General features: G+C 38.7%; 1 protein-coding gene and 1 pseudogene across 17 annotated transcripts in view, besides 1 other annotated feature; both read left to right on the top strand.

Moving 5' to 3' along the window:
* The window catches only part of EYA1 (EYA transcriptional coactivator and phosphatase 1), a 350,662-nt gene that overhangs the window by 76,134 nt on the left and 250,532 nt on the right, over window positions 1–23,996 (top strand). For 3 of the 17 annotated variants that reach the window (NM_001370334.1, XM_047421530.1, XM_047421525.1), the window contains one exon: window positions 1,030–1,103. The exons of the other annotated variants lie outside the window; for them this stretch is intronic. The gene's annotated coding sequence lies outside the window, so the exon portion shown is untranslated. The remainder of the gene's footprint in view (window positions 1–1,029; window positions 1,104–23,996) is intronic. 17 annotated transcript variants of the gene reach the window in all.
* Window positions 9,515–10,062: an enhancer, noted in NCBI's record as "H3K27ac-H3K4me1 hESC enhancer chr8:72374134-72374681 (GRCh37/hg19 assembly coordinates)". NCBI's record gives its function as "activates a minimal SCP1, AML or CMV promoter by ChIP-STARR-seq in naive H9 embryonic stem cells {active_cell/tissue: H9 hESC(naive)}" and the evidence as "EXISTENCE:reporter gene assay evidence [ECO:0000049][PMID:30033119]".
* TRAPPC2P2 (trafficking protein particle complex 2 pseudogene 2) lies at window positions 22,687–23,327 on the top strand (annotated as a pseudogene).

Here is a 23,996-nt window from a genome sequence, read left to right as displayed (position 1 = left end):
TGACAAGCCTTACAAGAAGCATACAAACAGTGATTTTGTGTTTTTCAGTTTAAATGGCTAGTTTATAAGGGAGACAAAGATGGGCTATAAAAGGGGTTTGCAGGATTTGAAATCAAAATTAAAGTTGGATGTTTGATAACCGCAAGTATGCCATGACTCCAGAAACTTAATTTGTATTATATGATAACATCCTCTTCTCCCATCCTTCCCTGACATCTAGCCAACCCCAATATCAGGGGAAAATCACTTTTATACTTTGGGAAGGTAGAAGCTCCATGCTGTGAGGAATGTGCTCATAATCAAATAATTTGAAACAATTTTAAAATTTATTAACATTATTTGGAGTAAAAATATAACCAGGACAAAAGTAGTCTATAAATTGAGTACGAGATCACTTTTGTGTTTTATTTATGAGAAAACAGTTATTTTCCCAGGTTTAATTTAGCTGATCATCTACATATAGATGTCCTATATATAGGTATAGATATGAACACATATATGTACATCTATATGCACATAAATGCTTATGCAATCCTTATACACATGTATACAGTCCATATATTAAAATTATGTGTGTATATATCAATATATAACAATCATCTTATGTTGCAGTTTTCTTTGTATAGAATTTATAACAAACTCTTCATATTTTAATAAGGATTACAGACATCTATCATTCCTGCATTAATTTTGTAACCCAATTGTATAACAATTGTTTTCTATTTGTGTTCATATTATCTAGATGATCTGAATTCTGACCCTTTCCCCAGAGTAAGAGGCAATTCAGACTCTCTTCTAATTGAGTCCTGTGAGGCTTGTGAAATATCAGTTTTATTATGGGGATTGTTGTTCTCTGGGGCTTGAAACAGGACCACCAAATATAACATTTTGTACCACACATTGTTTAAGAACTACTAATGTCTCAAGATGAGTTAAGTAAAAGCAATAAATTTTTTAAAGATGTGGGAAAATAAACATAAATGTCTGCTGGGTAAGGTTTTTCTCCCCTTTTTCCTTTTTTTTTTAAAGCCCATTGGCACTGCTGTTCAATATGTTACGACATTTGGAGCAACCACAGCAGCAGCTCTCACCAGAAATTAAAGGTAAATCTGACATTTTTTTCATCATGTAGTACTACGGTTCTGTTTTTATTTTTAATGCTACATACATCTTTTAGCCACACAGTGTTAAGTCTGTTATATCATTACGGTGATGTTTTCCCCCTTAATCCTTGAGTGTTTAGGAAAAACATGAAGTATCTTTGTATTTCCTACATGATTGATCTTTTCTATATCAGATTAATGTTTCTTTTATCTGTGTTATTTTGATCAATGTGACAGAATCAATTGTCACATTAGTTATGGAAGGACCCCTACAGACTAGATACTTCAAGCACCTCACCTTCTATTAGGTTGGTGCAAAAGCAATTGCGGTTTTTACCATTACTTTTAATGGCAAAAAGCTCGACTACTTTTGCACCAACCTAATAGAAAAAGAAACTCAGGTTCTTGTAGCAAATTCAGAGCTGGTTCCCTTTTTCTTGTGAAATTCATATGTGAGTTATGGGTTAGATCAGAGAAACCTCATTGTTTCTACTGACCAATGGAGAAATGACAGGGATAGAGAGGTAAATAAATACAGACTTGCCCTAAGCCTCAGAGGTTAAAGTAAAAGCCAGAGTAGAAAGCAAATCATTTGAAACAAAATATGCAATTTTCCCTTTATTCTTTAAAATCCTACTGGAAAGCAATTGCATAGATCTACTGATTAGGCCATCTTCAGGAAGACTCTCATAGGTTTTGGTGGAAAGAGAAACCATCTGGCCAGTCTTGCTAGAGAACACTAGCAAAGGGAGAACACTTTCCCAGTGTTAGTTACATTTTTTTGTTTGTTTCTTGTAAGTAACAGCTACTGACTCTGGCAAATTTAAGAGATGGTTTATTGAATGGATGCTGTTATAGCTCATAGAATCAAAGGCCTTGGTGAACAACTGAACCTCCAGAAGGGGAACAGCTGGGGCAATTCAGGGACCCTCACTTTAGAGTTTTGCCATTAGGATATCTCAGATCTAGTGACCTCCCATTTCTTGAGTCTTCATTTTGATGATCAAATGATCAAGAGAAAGAATCTGATTGATCCAGCCAAGATCATGTATCTACCCTTAGACCAGTCAGTTATGGCCAAGAGGAAAGTCAAAGGCACTGATATGATAGACACGTGAGGCCCATATTTGCATATCTGGCTATTCCAAGAGAAAGAGAAATCTCTGTGAGTCTGGGATGCACCTAATGGGCATTCACCTAAGTCCAAATGTGCTAAAAGATAATGTAAAAACAGTTGACTGCATAGTACATATATATTTACATGCACACATACAACTGATTTTACATCTCAGAAAACAGAGTGTGGTTTTGGTTCAGTGTCATCTTCTAAGGCAATAGAAGGAACTAATTGGGTATTTACAATGTGCTAAGTGGTGGTAAGCAGGACACATGCATTATTTCATTTGATCCTCACAACAATGCTGTGAGATAGGCACTATTTTCACACCCATTTTACAAGGGAGGAAGCTGAAGTATAAAGAAGTTGTATATCTCCAAATCACATAGTTAGGTAAGTCGTAGGAGGGCTTGCATACACCTTTGACTCTAGATCCCACAATTTTAAGAAGTCACTGACATTTCTCCAACTGAATAAAACACACCCAGTACTTACCACATTAAAATATAACTATTTGTTTATAGTTCTTCTTTCCTCCTAAGATTTGAGCAACTTGAGGACAGATTTTTTTTTTACTTATGTCTGTATTTAACATGTACTAGGGTGCCTAAAACATACTATATGTTATAATTAGATTGAATTAATAAAAGAATAAATGAATGAACATTTGACCCAGTCAGATACTAAGTTCCAAGCTCATAATTGTCACAATTGAATTAGTTAAACCTTACTGCTAGAAAACATGCCAACAGCAAGAAACATTTATGTAGCCTTTGGTAACTTTAAGACAAATAATTTGAAAGTTTATGAATATTTGGAGAAAAATAAGACGTAATGCCTCCCCTTGGTTTAAAATTTATTCAAGTGATAAAATTTATAAAAATAAATGTAAAAATTTGATAAGTACTAAATTTGCAATGTTAAATGGACTCAATGCTGTAGGAGCTCAGAGGAGCACGTTATCTCAAAGGCTGGGGCAGTAGGGAAAGTTGTCATGGTGAACCCGGAATTACTGGGCATTGAATGTATTGGACTTACACACTTTGAGGGAAGAATAGGCAGGGAAAACAGCACTAACAACAATACATCATTAAGAAATGTTTATGGGCATTACAAATATCTTTTATTGTGGTAAAATATATGTAACATTTACTATTTTAATCATTTTAGAGTATACAATTCAGTGGCACTGTGTATATCCACAAATGCATGTTTGTAATGTTTTTGGAAAACAATCGTTAGACAAGTTCTAACCAGTTACCTGCTGGAAATTCTATTTAGAGTGATGTAACTTTGGGTTATATTATAACACTTCCGTTGGACTCCAACCCTCAGCTCATTTATAAAAAAATTGCAACATGATTTCCACAGGCCTGTAATTGCAAAGCTGGTGTGCCTAGAAATGTGAAGTCAAAAGATAGGAGCTAAACCATACCAGATGAGAGAGAGTAGTGAGTGGGAAGACCAGAGACCAGAATTTTAAAAACATCTCTGCTATTGATGGGGTTATTCTTTGCCTAATGGGATGAACTTGGGCAAGTTATATCTCTAAGGTGCCTTTCTAATAATAAATCTCATGGATCCAAATGTATAAAAATAGCTTATCAAAGAATGTCCCTGTGTTTCTTTGAAAATAGAGATAAATGTGGTCTTAGTACTTAAATGTGGAGACCTACATAGTAGTCTAGCTCAGTTCTGCAGTGCCCTTGGATCAGTTATACCATCAAGACTTTGCCCTTGAGCAGCTCAAACTTTATCCAAGTCAGGATTACAGACACCTTTCCTGCTAGTGTTCAATTCAATGTGATATCTGTGAACCGAGACTTAGTAAATCATCTAACCAAGAAAAGGAAAATTCAAATTATTCAAGACTTAACTGAATGTGGTGAAGTATTACAGAAAATTTAATGAAACTCAATCTGTAGATGTTCTAATGTATGAAAATCATTATTATCAGCCTATTAATTTTTCAGATAATTGTGCATGTATCTCATGCATAATCATGTATCATTTCTGCCAGTATCCATACCAACCAATGACCACTTCAGATATGATGTATTTTGATATGCTTTCAACCCCAGTCAATGACTCTAATGGGAAGAAGCCCTTAGGCACTTAGAACCATTTATTAAGAAACTCTCAAAATTAATTACAAAATAGTGAGTTTTAAATAGTACCCTAGAGACATGAAAAATCATTTGATTCCAAAGGTGCCAAACTTGGAAACAGGAAATAGCTCATAACTTGTTTAACATGTTAAGCAAAACACAACAACAACTTCTCTTTTTCCCAGGTACTAGTAATTTTTTGTTATTGTTCCTTCTTAGAAGAAAATACACCACAAAAGAAGGATATTGACTTATAAGACATTTAATACTCTGCAACAATGCCCTAGTTGGCAAACTGCTAAGATGACTCCAATGCCCGATCCATTAGACACTGTCTTACAAAAAAGGGATATTTTAAAATGTTGGACCCTGAAAAGCACATTAATTTTTCACATTTTAAAAATGTATGTTTAAAAACATATGGTTTTAAATTCTATCTATTTTTTAAAATAATGTATATATATATTTTAACATAGGTATAATTCTCTTTCTCATGTTTAGCTATTACATTCAGGAGAAGAACTCAGCTCCAACATACCACAATAAAATAAATTCTTAATTTTACTTATTAACCTAAAAGCCTGAAATGGTTTAGAATATGGCTGTGTACCTTTTTATTCCCAACTGGTGTTTCATCTGATGATGGAAATAAATATTATAAGGTACATATAGTAATCTCATTGTGAGGAAACATAAAAGTTTAAACAAAAAGTCACTTTAAAATTTACATGTTAGATGACTCTTATCCAAACCCCAGTGGTAAGAAGAAGAGACAGAGACTTCTGAACAGTAATGTGAGTCTGTGTTTCCTAGATCCTAACTTTCAGGAGTTCTCTTTTTCTCCAAAGTTTCTTCTTGTAAACATATATAAAAATCTTCTTGCTCTATTATTTTTATTCCTTTTCAATGAGAAAACAACAACATATTTAATTTAGAAAACCACTTTTAAGGTGCTCCATTGGGAAACATTTTGTCGAGAGGTATAAATCTGTGGTCATAAATTTATAGTGTGTGTAGCTGTCCTGAATATTGATTAACGATTATATCTCTACACCTGCTCACATAAAACTATGTACATGCTTATTGATATTTTACAGTCACTGCATGTTATTCTTATTCTCGTTTTAAAGACTTTGGGTTTAAATGTAATTGAGTCAACTCATACTATATGCATGCACAATACTTCATATCACTCATGTTAACTGTAAATTTTAAGTGCTATTCTCTTCTACTACTACTGTGAATAATTTTGCCTTGCCTTTTCTGATTTCAAAAAAAGCTTTTCAAAAAAACTTTTCAGAAGAACAGAGTTCTACTGAATAAACATTGCTTTTTGAATGTTTTGTGCTTACTCGTATATGCAAAAATCTTTTATTCTTCCTTATATGCTCTGACATAAATACCATGTTGCCCAGAAATTGTTGCTTGAATATTTCTGTGGTTATATTTAGTCATATTTCTGAGGCCATCAAAGCTGTTATGAGGTTTTTCAGTACTAATCTCCCCATCATTTTAGAAGTATTGCAGCTCTATTCTCAAACCTTTTAATAAAACAACAAAATTATTTTCCTGCACAAAGGTGTATCTTTCCAGAGCAAAATATTTCAGTTGCCCATCTAGGGCAGAATGTTTTGATGGACAATCTTTTCATTTATTCTGTGAAATATGAAAGTGACCATTTGTTTTGTTTTGTAGAAATTGTGTCTTTCCATCACCTTGGAAACTATAGGTAACTAATAATTTGAATAGATGGATGAATAAATAATATAGTTATTTTTAACTTTGTGAATAATTTTGCCTTGCCTTTTCTGATTTCAAAAAACTTTTCACAAATACCCCACTTCTTAATACTACCACAATAGAAATTAAATTTCAACACGAATTTTGGAGGGGACACATTCAAACCATAGTAATCGTGAATATAAATTTATGTATTTTAAAGATAAACTAAATATTCTGAGTATTACTTGTGCATTTTATATTATCATTTTATTTGTTTATTTATTTTTTTGAAATGGAGTCTTGCTCTGTTGCCCAGGCTGGAGTGTATGGCTCAATCTTGGCTCACTGCAACCTCTGCCTCCCAGGTTCAAGAGATTCTTCTGCCTCAGCCTCCTGAGTAGCTGGGATTACAGACGTGCACCACCATACCCGGCTAATTTTTATATTTTTAGTAGAGATGGAGTTTCACCATGTTGGCCAGGCTAGTCTGGAACTCCTGGCCTTGAGTGATTTTCCTGCCTCAGCCCCCTAAAGTGCTGGGATTATAGGTGTGAGCTACCACACCCGGCCTCTTCTTCCTTTTAACCAATTTCTTTGATGGCGTGGCCAGTTACAAATCTTGTTTGCGTTGTATAAGATGGTTTCTGCTCTATTTGTTTACCTTAATATTATCAACAGCAGTTGCATTCTAAATTTAATTGTATAGAGGCAATAAACATAGAGTCTTAAGAGTAACATCATTTAACATTTGTCCTCAATCCTTTCTGAAGAAAGTGGGCAGTAATAAAGTATCATTTAGTGAAAAGATGTTAAATTTAGACATCTGTCAAAATTTGAAAAATAAATGAAATTGTTCTGCTTTATCATTTCAAGTTTCTTTGAAGCTTTATATGAGTTCCACATATACATTTTACAATAAGACGTATTAGTATTTGTGGAAGCTGAGTAAAAAATGATCATATGTTACTCAGGGGGAAGTTGTAATCTTGGTTTTGAAAATAGGCAGTAATGTTCAGAAATGTAATAGGCAATGTCCTACATGTCCTTTGCAAGATCACCAATAGGAAGTGAGTCTGAAAGTAAATTTAAATGCAAGGCTTGTAATTTTAGATAAATAGTATGTGTAGAATGCATATTATTATTGAATTTAAAAGAATGATTAATGTAGGTTATAATTTATATTTTATGCTATCTTCATTTTATAATAAGTTGAGGATTAGAAATCTCAAATTATATTAATAAGTTGTATTGCAATTGTCCCTAAACAAAATTTTGATGATAAAGAATTGTTAATGTAGTGTAGTTAATACCTATTACCAAGATTCCATAATTATGCCAACATTACAATGTATTCTAAATATTTTCTGTCTATATCTATTGGGCCAACTAGGCCCGTTGCATTGCCTGTTGAGTTTGGCTCAGTAGTGCCCTTTACCTGTGTAAGTGGCACAGATGGGGAAAACGATGAAGATGGCTGTTTCTGATGAAGACTATTTAAATGGACTTGCAGCTTAGAAAGGTACTTCAAGGCAAGAAGGTGAAAGACATAAGCTGCAATGCACATTTGTCATTAAAGGCAAGTAAGAACATGGAGGAAAAGCATTAATGTGGCATCCGTAGCTAAAAAGTCAGTGAGTTTTTTGAGATACAAAGATTGGTGTGAAACTTGTCACTTAGAGGCAAATGGCTATAGGAGAAGTTTGGGAAGGGGCCCCTTGAAGAGGAGGGAGAATAGAAGATGTGGAAGCATGCAGTCCTCGGGGAGAGCAGCGCCTGAGGAGGGTAATAGGGTGAGTACTACCTGGAGGAAGATTATTTAGATGTGGTAGTAGAAAGTTACATGAATAACTACCTAAGGAAAATCTGTTTAGTGGGTTCTGTTATTATAATGTAGTGGAAATGATCCAAAAAGGCACATTTGATGAATTTGAATCCCAGTTTACATAGTCCTTACTCTCCTTTAGCTTTAACTCTACAGAGGAATGTTTTTTACACTAAAGAAAATGTGAAGGCGAGAAAGCTCCAAAAAGAGGGAAAACATTTAGGGATGAGGACAACAGGAAAGGAAAGTCAATTAAAGACTGTGTTGTCTTCAGGAATTCAGCAACGGTCCAAGGGAATGTTTGAAACGGTTCTGTGACAACTGTGGCAGACCGGTAGGAATGGGAAACTAGAGAATGTATTGCAGTTAAGTAAATGATGTACCCTAACATGTATATGTAAATATATGTGTATATGTGTACTCTGTGAGTGTGTGTGTGGGAGGGGGGAGGGAGGGAGAGAGAGAGAGAGAGAGAGAGAGAGAGAGAGAGAGAGAGAGAGAGAGAGAGAGAGAAAGCATGTATTTCTTAAGAAATAACCTAAGCATAATGTGTGATTTCAAATGTCAGTATCAGACATAGAAAATTAGACTGGAATTAACCTTAGAGATCTTCTCATCCAGCTTTTTGTGTCATGATACATGAAGCTTTCTTCAGCATTTCACTGGGGTGGTTGTCTAGTTACAGTTTGGAGCAGTCCAGTGAAAATGAACTCAGGTTTACAAGGCAGTCCATTCTATTGTCTATAGACACATTGGTAATTCTGGAGGGGAACACATTTCTCTCTGTACTTGTGAGATTCACTACCACAGAACATCACTTTGGCTTCTGAAACTGTGGATGAGAAAACCATGTACCTTTAGTCTAACTCTGTGCCATCTAATACAGTAGCTAGCCACTAGCCACATGTGGCTATTGAACACGTGAAATGTGGTTAGTCCCAAATTGAGATGTTCTGTACACACCAGATTTTGAAGACTATTGCAAACACAAAAGAGTCTACAATATCTCATTAATAATTTTGATATTAATTATATGTTGAAATGGTAGTATTTGGGGTATTTTGGATTCAATAAAATATATTACTAAAATTAATTTGACATCTTTGTTACTTTTTAAAACATGGCTACTAGAAAAATTTCAAATTGATGGCAGTGGCGGGGATATCCACAGCAGCTGCTGCCATCACGCTGGCTGCAGTGGGGAGGTGCAGCCAATGGTGCCAGGAGTGGCTATGGGAGCAGCAATGGCAGACGCTGGTCCTCTGTGCCCCATGTCCCTGAGGCAGCTGACTGCACCACCCCCACTTTCACATGCCTGGGCAGGACCTGCCCCTAGGCCTGGACCCTCTACCGCTCCAGACCCTGGCCCCCTGTTGCCACTCTCACCCACCACTGCTGCCTGGAGGGCACAGGGAGAAGGCAGAGCTGGGCCTGGGGTGGTACTGCACTCCAGGAGCCAGTGGGAGCCAGGGACAAGCAGGAATCCCCCGGAGCCTGCCACCCTGGGGGTCACTAGGGCTGGGCTGAGCTGCTGGGGCCACCTGCACACTCCACAGAGCGGGTGAGAGTCCTGCCCTCCAAGGCACTGAACCTGGGCATCTTTGCACCTCTGTACACTTGAGGGCCTGGGAAGGCTCCCATTCCCCTGCAGGCTCAGGGGTGGTTGTCTGCTCCCACTGCCTAGCCTCTCCCTCTTCCTGGCACCCACTCCGATCTCGGAGAGGGGTTGGAGCTGAGCCCGGCTGGGTGTGTGCACACTTGGAGCAGCACTGGCACGCCAGTCCCCTGCCACCTTGGCTCCTTCCTGACATTGGGCACTGATAAGCCTGGTGGGGAAAACCAACTGGGTGCTGAGGACAGCTCAAATACTGGCCTGCAGGTACCCCTTGACTCCAGCAGCCTGGGCACCATGGACGGTGGCAGGAGGCAGACAGGCTCCTGAGCAGAAGCGGTGGGTCCCCATTGAGGCCCCACCTTCAGGCCAGGGAGGGCCTGAAGGCTGAGGGCTAGGCTTCCAGTCCTGAGGACTGGAGTGGGAACTTGTGGTGCCTTTTCTGGGCCCAGCCATGGTCACCCATGAACCAAGCAGCATGCACTTCCTCCCCTCTGAGGCCCCAGGCTCAGCCAGAGCTGGACAGAAGATGGGACAACCAGCTGCAGAGAGGAACTACCCTGGCTGCTGCGACCTGAACACTTGTTGGGATGACCTGTCTGCAGAGAGGAGCTACTCTCTCTGCTAGGAGCTGAACACTTGATAGGACACCCTGGCTAGGGAATGGAGCTTCCCCCTGAGGGACACCCTGGCTGTGTAATAGAGCTACCCCCTCAGGATCTCCTCTGAGCTATTCTATCCTCTTCATCTTGCTCACCCTCCACTTGTCTGCGTACCTCATTCTTCTTGGTCTCAGGACAAGAATTTGAGACCCTCCAAATGGTGAGGCTAAAAGAGTTGTAACACAAACAGGGCTGAAACATGCCCCTTCCTTGCCACATTGCTGGCAAAGAGAAGGAGAGAAGAGCTGTGGCCCTCCAGGGAGCCCAGACCTGGGAGCTCCTCAAGCCAGGGCTGTGATTCCCTCTTTGGGGTCCTGTGGTTCCTGGCATATCCAAGCTTCTGGGTGCTACCACATACCCCGTTGCTAGCCGTGGAAGCTGCTTGTGGTGTGCCTGGTCCAGCCACAGCCTCACAGAGAGCCAGCACCAGTGCTGGCACCTGGAGCTGCCTGCCCCACCATGGCAGCTGGCATGTTTGACTGTGCAATGTTCAGACGCCACGCTCACTAACACACCCCTTGCCGCTCCATGCATGACTCCCCCTTGCCAGTAGCATGAGCCGGGTGCAGCCTACCAGACCAAGTTGGCAGAGCAAGCCCAGCAGCCTAAGCAAAATTTGGGTGCCTCTTGGGCAAAGGAATCACTGGCCACAAAGGTTTCTGGCCAGAAAAGCAACACCTCAAGGATCCTGCAACAAAATTACATGAAATTACATAAAAACCTCAAGATTATACACTCACATTATATTTCTATTGGACAGTGCTGGTCAACATTATACTTATAACCAATTGTTTTATTTGCATATGCTGTTTGTTCTTCCTAAAATCTAGCTTTCACCAGACAATGTAATTAACAGAAAATATAAACTTTCAAGTTCTTTGATTTCTAGCCAAAGACTTCAAAGGCGCTACAGCTACTTCCCCATTCTCTAGAGACTGTATTATTTAAATTAGTGTTTCCCAAACTTCCAGGATCACCAGAATTGCCTGGGGTGCTTGCTAAAGTCGAGCTGTCTAAGTCTCTCCCATATCTACAGAAACAGTTTCTTCTGGGACAGTCCTATGGCAGCAGTGTTTGGGAAACTTTTCGTTAGGGAAGAAGAATCCACAATGGTTTTCCATTTGCATAAGACAATATGTGCACTTTTTGAAACACTTCAGAGCCTGGTTAAGTCCTGTCTTCGCATTGTGGTTTCCTTCCCTGCTCCTTCCCACCACTTCCCAGCCATGACAACCTACTCATTAGGTTATTTCTTGCTTTGGGTTGAATTAGTTTCTCCACCTGTCTGAAGTGCCTCCTCCTGGCCCTTCTAAGCCTGATGGGCTCTAACTTTTTGTTACTGGCCCTTGTAAGAAGCTTGCCTTCATATTCTCCCCACTCCAGACAAAGATAAGTGCTCTCTTCTCCTTTATAGTATCTTTCCCCTAGAAAGGAACACAATCCAGGCTGCACATTCGAATCATCTGGAAACTTTTAAAACCGATGCTCAGGTCACTTCCCTAGAAGTGTAAGTTGCTTGGTCTGTGGCAGGCCATGGATGTTGAAATTTTTCTTTTCAAGCTTCTCAGGATACCAGTGCTGAGAATCACATTTGGTGATTTGAGCACACTGCTATTTCAGAACTTTATCACAAATTATTATAATTACTTGTTTACATAGATCTCTTCATCTTAGATTGAACACCTGGAGAATGTGAACAATGTCTTCTGTATCACAAATGCTGGGGGCGCAAAAAATGTTCAAATGCTTTTTCAATGAAGAGTTTAAGGAACTTCTCTTAGTGTGACTTGACGAGTAGATGACAGAGGTAACAAAGGAATATGTGATGAAAATTACTTAAATCAATTTTGAAAATTCTTAGGAGAGATATTTTTCTGAATTCATATGCTGATAATCTAGAATATACTACAAAATTGGAAAATGAGCTTAATTGAAATATTAATTTATTTACTAAAAAAGAACAGATAGTGGGTATGCAAATTGACAGTTATCTTTGCATACTAAGAAAAAATAATAATTGAAGAAATGAGGATTTGAGTCCAGGAATATATAATATATTAAGAGCAGTGTTGGAAAGACAAATAAAAAACACATAACTAATTTTTACTCTCAGAGTATGATGAACAGTATAAGATTTAACATAAACATGGTGAAAACAATAAAAAAGGAGAAAAAAGCTCTCAGAAAAGAGAATATTTTACATTTGAAAAAGTAGCAAATAATGCTAAGAAAAATTCATTTAAAATAAATAGCAGAAATAAAAGTATAAGTAAGAAGCTTATGTAGACCTTGGTTAACATGGAGACAAGAGAAGCAAGGCACTTTCATGGATCATTCAGAGGTTGATGTTTATGAAGAGAATGAAGGTCAGTACAGCCAGTTTGGAAGGTTAAATAGCCCATTACACCAAAACTTAAAGACAAAACAGCTGGAGGTGTTTTGAAATCCAGTATACCCATGAAGCGAGGAGAAAAGAATTCAGTTAGGTACAGGCTTTGCAGGAATTGAAACAAAAATTAAAGTTATGGAAGTGAGAACCGCAAATAAAAGTTTGGCCACCGTCAACTTCTACAAGATTTTTGAGATTCCTCCAGCAAATTTCACTTAATGGATAAAGATGGCACCAAGGGGCATGCCATAATGAGCACAGCAGAATGTGGGGAGAAGTCCAAGGTTATGTCAGAGAAATGTGTAAAGTATCTTAGTAATTTGCCTTGAAAACTTTGTAGAAACTTGTGAGCCAATGTGTTTCTCCAGTTTCTTTATACACACCAGTCCCTTCCCAACCTCCCTTCCCTCCCTATCTAGTTTAGAAGACCATGAGCCGCCACTGTAATAAACTCTTGTCAATGTCATAGAACCCTCCTGCCCTCTTTAGTATGTATTTCTGTGTGTTTTCTTCCATCCAGGAAAATCCTACCCTTGGATGAACCCCTCTATTCATTTTCTTCTTGCCTTTGAGCTGTATATGCAGAATCCAATTGCCTCGTTAACATCTTCCATTTGGATGTCATAAGAGCACTTCAAACTCAACGTGTACAAAATTGGACTCAGGAGCTCTTCCTGTAAGCCTGATCTACCCCACTCTTCTTTATCTTCAGGAGTGGCTCCACTTTCAATATAGTTGCTTAAGCTCTCAACCTTGGAGTCCCTTTTAACATCACTTTCTTGCTTTCTTCTTCATCATCCATATCTAATCCATCACCAAAAACTTCATGCATTTTGTGCTGATAAAAGAGATTATAAGTAGCTGTATTTGGAGCTATGTAATACCTAGTAGGCTTTTCGGTAGTATTTTCAACAGTTCTTGGTGGTTAATAGAATATGGCTGGTGATGAAAAAAGCATTCCCTGGCCATGTGAGGTAATGAACTCTAAGAAGTCCTTAAAATTATAAAAAGGATATGTAGGTGAAAAGAAAAAAAAAATCTACATACACACAGAGGATTGTGACCCAAATAAAGAATGATGAATGTTTCAGGAAGTACCCCTGTAATTCTTAACACCTGGTATTCTTAGAAACTTTAAAACAAAAATTCCCCAATCCATGTCTTACCTCAGACTATATAAGTCAGAGTTTTAGGAATTCAACCTAAAGTCAATAGTTTCTTAAAGTTCTTCGGTGACTCCATGTACAACCAGGGTTGTATACAACTTATATAAGTCAAATTCTATTTTCTATATTTAAAAGTTTTTTTGTTTATATCCTCTAGTTTTTCTTGTATTTTCAAAGTAAAATATAAAGATATTCAAACAGAACAAGATATTCGCTCTCTCTACCCTGAAAATTACAGTATGTGTACACTTAGATGCTGACTCAAAAATTGAACTTTAACAGAATAGGAGCCTGTAATTAAGATGTAAGGTGAGTCAAACTCAAGTCCATAACTTAACATAAAGTAGCCTTAATGCATATGCTAATTCTTTTTTTTATTATACCTTAAGTTCTAGGGTACATGTGCATAACGTGCAGGTTTGTTACATATGTATACATGTGCCATGTTGGTGTGCTGCACCCATTAACTCATCATTTACATTAGGTATATCTCCGAATGCTACAGGCCCCTGTGTGTGATGTTCCCCTTCCTGTGTCCAAGTGTTCTCATTGTTCAATTCCCACCTATGAGTGAGAACATGCGGTGTTTGGTTTTTTGTCCTTGTGATAGTTTGCTAAGAATGATGGTTTCCAGCTTCATCCATGTCCCTATAAAAGACATGAACTCATCATTTTTTATGGCTGCATAGTATTCCATGGTGTATATATGCCACATTTTCTTAATCCAGTCTGTCATTGATGGACATTTGGGTTGGTTCCAAGTCTTTGCTGTTGTGAAAAGTGCCACAATAAACATACGTGCGCACGTGTCTTTATAGCAGCATGATTTATAATCCTTTGGGTATATACCCAGTAATGAGATGGCTGGGTCAAATGGTATTTCTAGTTCTAGATCCTTGAGGAATCGCCACACTGTCTTCCACAATGGTTGAACTAGTTTACCCTCCCACCAACAGTGTAAAAGTGTTCCTATTTCTCTACATCCTCTCCAGCATCTGTTGTTTCCTGACTTTTTAATGATCACCATTCTAGACGGTGTGAGATGGTATGTCATTGTGGTTTTGATTTGCATTTCTCTGATGGCCAATGATGATGAGCATTTTTTCATGTGTCTGTTGGCTGCCTAAAGGTCTTCTTTTGAGAAGTGTCTGTTCATATCCTTTGCCCACTTTTTGATGGGGTTGTTTGTTTTTTTCTTGTAAATTTGTTTGAGTTCTTTGTAGATTCTGGATATTAGCCCTTTGTCAGATGAGTAGATTGCAAAAATTTTCTCCCATTCTGTAGGTTGCCTGTTCACTTTGATGGTAGTTTCTTTTGCTGTGCAGAAGCTCTTTAGTTTAATTAGATCCCATTTGTCAATTTTGGCTTTTGTTGCCATTGCTTTTCATGTTTTAGACATGAAGTCCTTGCCCATGCCTAAGTCCTGAATGGTATTGCCTAGGTTTTCTTCTAGGGTTTTTATGGTTTTAGGTCAAACCTTTAAGTCTTTAATCCATCTTGAATTAATTTTTGTATAAGACATAAGGAAGGGATCCAGTTTCAGCTTCCTACATATGGCTAGCCAGTTTTCCCAGCACCATTTATTAAATAGGGAATCCTTTCCCCATTTCTTGTTTTTTTTTCAGGTTTGTCAAAGATCACATGGTTGTAGATGGTGTGATATTATTTCTGAGGGCTCTGTTCTGTTCCATTGATCTATATCTCTGTTTTGGTACCAGTAGCATGCTGTTTTGGTTACTGTAGCCTTGTAGTATAGTTTGAAGTCAGGTAGCTTGATGCCTCCAGCTTTGTTCTTTTGGCTTAGGATTGACTTGGCAATGCGGACTCTTTTTTGGTTCCATATGAACTTTAAGGTAGTTTTTTCCAATTCTGTGAAGAAAGTCATTGGTAGCTTGATGGGGATGACATTAAATCTATAAATTACCTTGGCAGTATGGCCATTTTCACGATATTGATTCTTCCTATCCATGAGCATGGAATGTTCTTCCATTTGTTTGTGTCCTCTTTTATTTTGTTGAGCAGTGGTTTGTAGTTCTCCTTGAAGAGGTCCTTCACATCCCTTGTAAGTTGGATTCCTAGGTATTTGATTCTCTTTGAAGCAATTGTGAATGGGAGTTCACTCATGATTTGGCTCTCTGTTTGTCTGTTATTGGTGTATAAGAATGATTGTGATTTTTGCACATTGATTTTGTATCCTGAGACTTTGCTGAAGTTGCTTATCAGCTTAAAGAGATTTTGGGCTGAGATAATGGGGTTTTCTACATATACAATCATGTCATCTGCAAACAGGGACAATTTGACTTCCTCTTTTCCTAATTGAATACCCTTCATTTCTTTCTCCTGCCTGATTGCCCTGGGCAGAACTTCCAACACTATGTTGAATAGGAGTGGTGAGACAGGGCATCCCTGTCTTGTGCCAGTTTTCAAAGGGAATGCTTCCAGTTTTTGCCCATTCAGTATGACATCAGCTATGGGTTTGTCATAAATAGCTCTTATTATTTTGAGATCCATCCCATCAATACTGAATTTATTGAGAGTTTTTAGCAGGAAGGCTGTTGAATTTTGTCGAAGGCCTTTTCTGCATATGTTGAATAATCATGTGGTTTTTGTCTTTGATTCTGTTTATATGCTGGATTATATTTATTGATTTCTGTGTATTGAACCAGCCTTGCATCCCAGGGATGAAGCCCACTTGATCATCGTGGATAAGCCTTTTGATGTGCTGCTGGATTCGGTTCCCCAGTATTTTATTGAGGATTTTTGCATTGATGTTCATCAGGGGTATTGGTCTAAAATTCTCTTTTTTTGTTGTGTCTCTGCCAGACTTTGGTATCAGGGTAATGCTGGCCTCATAAAATGAGTTAGGGAGGATTCCCTCTTTTCCTATTGATTGGAATAGTTTCAGAAGGAATGGTACCAGCTCCTCCTTGTACCTCTGGTAGAATTCGGCAGTGAATCTGTCTGGTCCTGGACTTTTTTTTTGGTTGGTAGGCTATTAATGATTGCCTCAATTTAAGAACCTCTTATTGGTCTATTCAGCGATTCAACTTCTTCCTGGTGTAGTCTTGTGGGGTGTATGTGTCAAGGAATTTATCCATTTCTTCTAGATTTTCTAGTTTATTTGTGTAGAGGTATTTATAGTATTCTCTTATGGTAGTTTGTATTTCTGTGGATCAGTGGTGATATCCCCTTTATCAGTTTTTATTGTGTCTTTTTGATGCTTCTCTCTTTTCTTCTTTATTAGTTTTGCTAGCAGTCTGTCAATTTTGTTGATCTTTTCAAAAAACCAGCTCCTGGATTCACTGATTTTTTGTGTCTCTATCTCGTTCAGTTCTGCTCTGATCTTAGTTATTTCTTGCCTTCTGCTAGCTTTTGAATGTGTTTGCTCTTGCTTCTCTAGTTCTTTTAATTGTGATGTCACAGTGTCAATTTTAGATCTCTCCTGCTTTCTTTTGTGGGCATTTAGTGCTGTAAATTTCCCTCTACACACTGCTTTGAATGTGTCCCAGAGATTCTGGTATGTTGTGTCTTTGTTCTCATTGGTTTCAAAGAAAATCTGTATTTCTGCCTTCATTTCAGTATGTACCCAGTAGTCATTCAGGAGCAGGTTGTTCTGTTTCCATGTAGTTGAGCGGTTTTTAGTGAGTTTCTTAACCCTGAGTTCTAGTTTGATTGCACTGTGGTCTGAGAGACAGTTTGTTATAATTTCTGTTCTTTTACATTTGCAGAGGGGTGCTTTACTTCCAACTTCGTGGTCAATTTTGGAATAAGTGTGATGTGGTGCTGAGAAGAATGTATAACCTGTTGATTTGGTGGAGAGTTCTGTAGATGTCTATTAAGTCCGCTTGGTGCAGAACTGAGTTCAATTCCTGGATATCCTTGTTAACATTCTGTCTCATTGATCTGTCTAATGTTGACAGTGGGGTGCTAAAGTCTCCCATTATTATTGTGTGGGAGACTAAGTCTCTTTATTGGTCTCTAACAGCTTGCTTTATGAATCTGGGTGCTCCTGTATTGAGTGCATATATATTTAGCATAGTTAGCTTTTCTTGTTGAATTGATCCCATTACCATTATGTAATGGCCTTCTTTGTCTCTTTTGATCTTTGTTGGTTTAAAGTCTGTTTTATCAGAGACTAGGATTGTAACCCCTGCTTTTTTTTGTTTTCCATGTTCTTGGCAGATCTTCCTTCATCCCTTTATTTTGAGCCTATGTGTGTCTCTGCATGTGAGATGGGTTTCCTGAATACAGCACACTGATGGGTCTCGACTCTTTATCCAATTTGCCAGTCTGTGTCTTTTAATTGGAGCATTTAGCCCATCTACATTTAAGGGTAATATTGTTATGTGTGAACTTGATCCTGTCATTATGATGTTAGCTGGTTATTTTGCTCATTAGTTGATGCAGCTTCTTCCTAGCATCGATGGTCTTTACAATTCGGCATATTTTTGCAGTGGCTCGTACCTGTTGTTCCTTTCCATGTTTAGTGTTTCCTTCAGGAGCGCTTGTAGGGCAGGTCTGGTGGTGACAAAGTCTCTCAGCATTTGCTTGTCCATAAAGGATTTTATTTCTCCTTCACTTATGAAGCTTAGTTTGGCTGGATATGAAATTCTGGGTTGAAAATTCTTTTGTTTAAGAATGTTGAATATTGGCCCCCATTCTCTTCTGGCTTGTAGAGTTTCTGCCAAGAGATCAGCTGTTAGTCTGATGGGCTTCCCTTCGTGGGTAATCCTACCTTTCTTTCTGCCTGCCCTTAACATTTTTTCCTTCATTTCAACTTTGATGAATCTGACAATTATGTGTATTGGAGTTGCTCTTCTCAAGGAGTATCTTTGTGGCGTTCTCTGTATTTCCTGAATTTGAATGTTGGCCTGCCTTGCTAGGCTGGGGAAGTTCTCCTGGATAATATCCTGCAGAGTGTTTTCCAACTTGGTTCCATTCTCCCCGTCACTATCAGGCTCACCAATTAGACGTAGAGTTGGTGTTTTCACATAGTCTCATATTTATTGGAGGCTTTGTTCTTTTCTTTTTACTCCTTTTTCTCTAAAGTTCTCTTCTCACTTCATTTCATTCATTTGATCTTCAATCACTGATACCCTTTCTTCCAGTTGATGGAATCATCTACTGAAGCTTGTGCATTCGTCACGTAGTTCTTGTGCCATGGTTTTCAGCTCCATCAGGCCATTTAAGGACTTCTTTACACTGGTTATTCTAGTTAGCCATTCACCTAATCTTTTTTCAAGGTTTTTTAGCTTCTTTATGATGAGTTTGTACTTCCTCCTTTAGCTCAGAGAAGTTTGATTGTCTGAAGCCTTCTTCTCTCAACTTGTCAAAGTCATTCTCCATCCAGCTTTGTTCCGTTGCTGGCAAGGAGCTGCATTCCTTTGGAGGGGGAGAGGCACTCTGAATTTAGAATTTTCAGCTTTTCTGCTCTGTTTTTTTCCCGATCTTTGTGGTTTTATCTACCTTTGGTCTTTGATGATGGTGACGTGCAAATTGGGTTTTGGTGTGGATGTCCTTTCTGTTTGTTAGTTTTCCTTCTAACATTTAGGACCCTCAGCTGCAGGTCTATTGGAGTTTGCTGGAGGTCCACTCCAGACCCTGTTTGCCTGGGTATCAGCAGCGGAGGCTGCAGAACAGCGAATATTGCTGAACATCAACTGTTGCTGCCTGATCGTTCCTCTGGAAGCTTCATCTCAGAGGGGTACCCAGTCGTGTGAGGTGTCAGTCTGCCCCTACTGGGGGGTGCCTCCCAGTTAGGGTACTTGGGAGTCAGAGACCCACTTGAGGAGGCAGTCTGTCCATTCTCAGATCTCAAACTCCGTGCTGGGAGAACCACTACTCTCTTCAAAGCTATTAGACAGGGACATTTAAGTCTGCAGAGGTTTCTGCTGCCTTTTGTCCAGCTATGCCCTGCCCCCAGAGGTGGAGTCTACAGAGGCAGGCAGGCCTCCTTGAGCTGTGGTGGACTCCACCCAGTTCAAGCTTCTTGGCCACTTTGTTTACCTACTCAAGCCTCAGCAATGGCGGGCGCCCCTTCCCCAGCCTTGCCGCTGCCTTGCAGTTGGATCTCAGACTGCTGTGCTAGCAATGAGTGAGGCTCTGTGGGTGTGGGACCCTCCAAGCCATGCGTGGGATATAATCTCCTGGTGTGCCATTTGCTAAGGCCATTGGAGAAGTGCAGTATTAGGGTGGGAGTGACCTGATTTTCCAGGTGCCGTCTGTCACAGCTTCCCTTGGCTAGGAAAGGGAATTCCCTGACCCCTTGCACTTCCCAGGTGAGGCGATGCCTCACCCTGCTTTGGCTCAAGCTCGGTGGGCTGCACCCACAGTCCTGCACCCACTGTCCGATGAGCCCCAGTGAGATGAACCTGATACCTCAGTTGGAAATGCAGAAATCACCCGTCTTCTGCGTCGCTCACACTGGGAGCTGTAGACTGGAGCTGTTCCTAGTTGGCCATCTTGGAACCACACCTGCATATGCTAAGTCTTGATGAAATGATCTCTTGTGACTTGATATTGGAAGACTAAAAATTTCATAAATCAGAAAAGGTAATTAATGAAGATATGTTCATTTCACCAACTGATAGGTTTTCAGAAGAGGAACCACATAATTATGACCTTCTGTGGTAAAGGTAAAGATATGTAAAAATAGTTTTAAAGAAGAACCTTGATTATGAGGATAATAAATAAGAAAATTTGAAAAAACAAAAATAATTCCCCATAAACCTATAACCAGATTGGTATTTCATATATTTCATATATTTCTTTCTGGCATTGTGTGTGTACATGTACAATTTACAAATTTGTCTCATATCATAGATAGTTTCATATTCTGCTCTTATTCTTTATTTACTGTATGATATTTTCTCCAATAGTTTCTGAAGATATAATTTTAATTGACAGTATAATATTTAATCCATTCACAGAAAATTTTTAAAAAATATTCTTCTGTTTATATATTTTGTTTGTTCCATATTTGTTTTTCTATACTTATTGCTGTGATGATGAACATGTGTACATTAGGAATTATTCCAGAAGTGTGGTTACTAAGTCCAAAATCATGTGCCCTTTGAAAGCCTTTTCATACATAGTGCCAAATCATTTTCCAGGACAATCTACCAGTTTATATTCCCATCAGCATTGAATAAAAATATGTATAATTACATTGTACCCTCACAACATTCAAAATATGATCTAAATCCTTCACAATTTAATGGGTGATAATAGTATCGTAGTGTGCATTTCTCTGATAATTAATGTGAATGAATGTTTATTCGTGTTTGCTAGCTGTTTGCATTTCTTCTTTTGCATGTTTTTAGTAGTTCATAATCTTTGCTTACTTGTGAAGTCATTTTACGGAAGTTAAAAGCATTATAGAAATGTAATTCCATTTTAGCCCATGCATTTATGGTTATAATTTTGGCTAATTCCAGTATCCACAGATTGCAGTCTCTATCCTGTTAAGGTAATCTTTGGGCATCTTTCTTGTTCCCTTTTTATATACAGGAATACCTCATTTTATTGCACCTGCTTTATTGTGCTTTGCAGATAGTACAGTTTTTATGAATAGAAGGTTTGTGGCAAGCCTGCCTCAAGCTAGTCTATTGGTGCCATTTTCCCAACAGCACATGCTCCCTTTGTGTTTCAGTGTGACATTTTGTTAATTCTTCTGATATTTCAGTCATTCTCATAATTATTGTATCTGTTATGATAATCTGTAATTTTTGATCTCTGATTGTAAAGGTTCTGGGGCACCACAAACCATGCCCATATAAGACGATGAACTTAATTGATAAATGTATGTGTTCTGACTTCTCCACTTACCACCCGCTCTCCCATCTTCCTTGCTTTCCTCAGGCCTCCCTATTCCCTGAGACACAACAATAGTCAAATTAGGTCTGTTAATAACCCTACAATGGCCTCTAAGTGTTCAACTGAAAGGAGAGCCACACGCCTTTCACTTTTAGTCAAAAGCTAGGAATGATTTAGCTTAATGAGGAAAGCATGTTGAAAACTAAGACAGGCCAAAAGTAGGCCTCTTGTGCCAAATGGTTAGCCAAGTTGTTAATTCAAAAGAAAAGTCCTTGAAGTAAATTACAAGTGTTACTTCAGTGAACCCATGAATGATAAGAAAACAAAAGAGCCTATTGCTGATATGGAGAGAGTTGTAGTGGTCTGGGTAGAAAATCAAACTAGCTACAACATTCCCTTAAGCCAAAGTCTACTCTAGAACAAGGCCCTAACTCTCTTCAATTATCTGAAGACTGGCAGAGGTGAGGAAACTGTAGAAGAAAAGTTTGAAGCTAACAGACATTGGTTCCTGAGGTTAACATAAAAATGTAGGATGAAGCAAGCACTCAGCAGAAGATGCAGTAAGTTTCCAGAACTTCTGCAGCAAGTTTCCAGAAGATCTGGCTAAGATCATTGATGAAGATGCCTACACTAAACAACAGAGTTTCAATATAAACAAAAGTCTTCCTGTGGAAGAAGATGCCATCCAGGACTTTCACAGCTAAAGAGAAGTCAATGCCTGGTTTCAAAGCTTCAAAGGTCAGGCTGACTCTCTGGTTAGGGGCTGATGCAGCCAGTGAGTTTAAGTTGAATCCATTGTTCATTTCCTATTCTGAAAATCTCAGGGCTCTCAAGGATGATGCTAAATCTGCACTGCCTGTGCTGTCTATAAATGGAACAATAAAGCCTAGATGATAAAACATCTGTCCATAGCTTGGTTTTTTAAATATTTTAAGCCCAGTGTTGAGATCTACTGCTCAGGAAAAAAGATTCCCTTTTTCTAAAACAAAAATTACTGTTCATTGAAATGCTCCCAGTCACTCAAGAGCTCTGGTGGAGATGTACAAGGAGATTACTGTTGTTTTCATGCCTGCCAACACAGCTTCCATTCTGCAGCCCGTGGATCAAGGAGTAATTTCAACTTTCAAGTCTTGTTATTGGCTGAATACACCAAGTGTGAGTCTTGGTTGTGGGAACTGACTTTGTTACGATGTTGTCTCACTGCAGGAGCCATATATTGAAGACAATGTCTGGAAGCTTCCACTTGGTAATTAGTGGCCACAATGATAATCCAGTTTTTGAAATGGAGTTTTTTCCCAGCTAGGAAAGTAGAATCCAAAGACAACCGTCATTACCCATAGCTCATGCTGTTTGCAACCTCATAGATAACATGTGGCTGTCGAAAAACACGTACTTGAAAACTGTGGACAAGTGCAACAAGTGTTTTCTGTCGGCATTCGTAACTCCAGGGCACATACATTTTTTTATTATGCTTCATGACATAAGGCAAGAAGATAGAATAAAGAACTACTTTACTGATGTTTAGCATTTACACATAAAGTTTGCAATGAATCCATTTTATGAACCCAGTTCTCCTATTTGATCATATGCATTTGACAGAAAAGTTCAGTTTCTTAGGAAAGGAAACACTTTTTAAGTGGAATGTAGAAAAATTCCAAAACAAATGATGTCACCTCAATAGAGTATACTCAGGAATGTGAACGTTGTAGGTAACTTGATTAAATAGCCTGGAAAAATTTTTAAAAACTATTTTTCACAAGGCTATAGCTGCCATAGATAATGATTCCTCTGATGCATCTAGGCAAAGTACACTGAAAACCATCTGGACAGCATTCACTGTTCTAGATGCCATTAAGAACATTTGTGATCCCTAGGAGATCAAAATATAAACATTAACAGGAGTTTGGGAAAAGCTGATTCCAGCCCTCCATGGGTAAGTTGGAGGAGTTCAAGACTTCAGGGGAGGAAGTAACTGCGAATGTAGTGGAAATAGGAAGAGAAATAGAATTAGAGTGGATCCTCAAGATGTGACTGAGTTGCTACAATCTTACGATAAAATTTGAACAGATGAGGAGTTGCTTCTTATGGATGAGCCAAGAAAGTGGTTTCTTGAGAGGGAATCCACTCTTATTGAAGATGCCATGAACATTATTGAAATGACAGCAAAGTATTTAGAATATTACATCAGCCTAGTTGAGAAAACAGAGGCAGGTTTGAGAAGATTGTCTTTAATTTTGCGAGAAGTCCTATTGTGCATGAAAGGCTCTTAAATACAAAAAATTAGCCAGGCATGGTAGCATGTGCCTGTAGTACCAGCTGCTAGGGAGGCTGAGGCGGAGAATAGTTTGAACCTGGAAGGCGTAGGTTGCAGTGAGCCAAGATCATGCCACCGCACTGCAGCCTGGGCAACGGAGCGAGAAAAAAAAAAAAAAAAAGCTCTTAAACAGCTTTGCATTCCATGCTACAGAGAAATCTTTTGG

This window comes from Homo sapiens, chromosome 8 (assembly GCF_000001405.40).
Source record: "Homo sapiens chromosome 8, GRCh38.p14 Primary Assembly".
In the NCBI taxonomy this organism is placed as follows: domain Eukaryota; kingdom Metazoa; phylum Chordata; class Mammalia; order Primates; family Hominidae; genus Homo; species Homo sapiens.
This window is presented reverse-complemented; position numbering and strand designations above follow the sequence as displayed.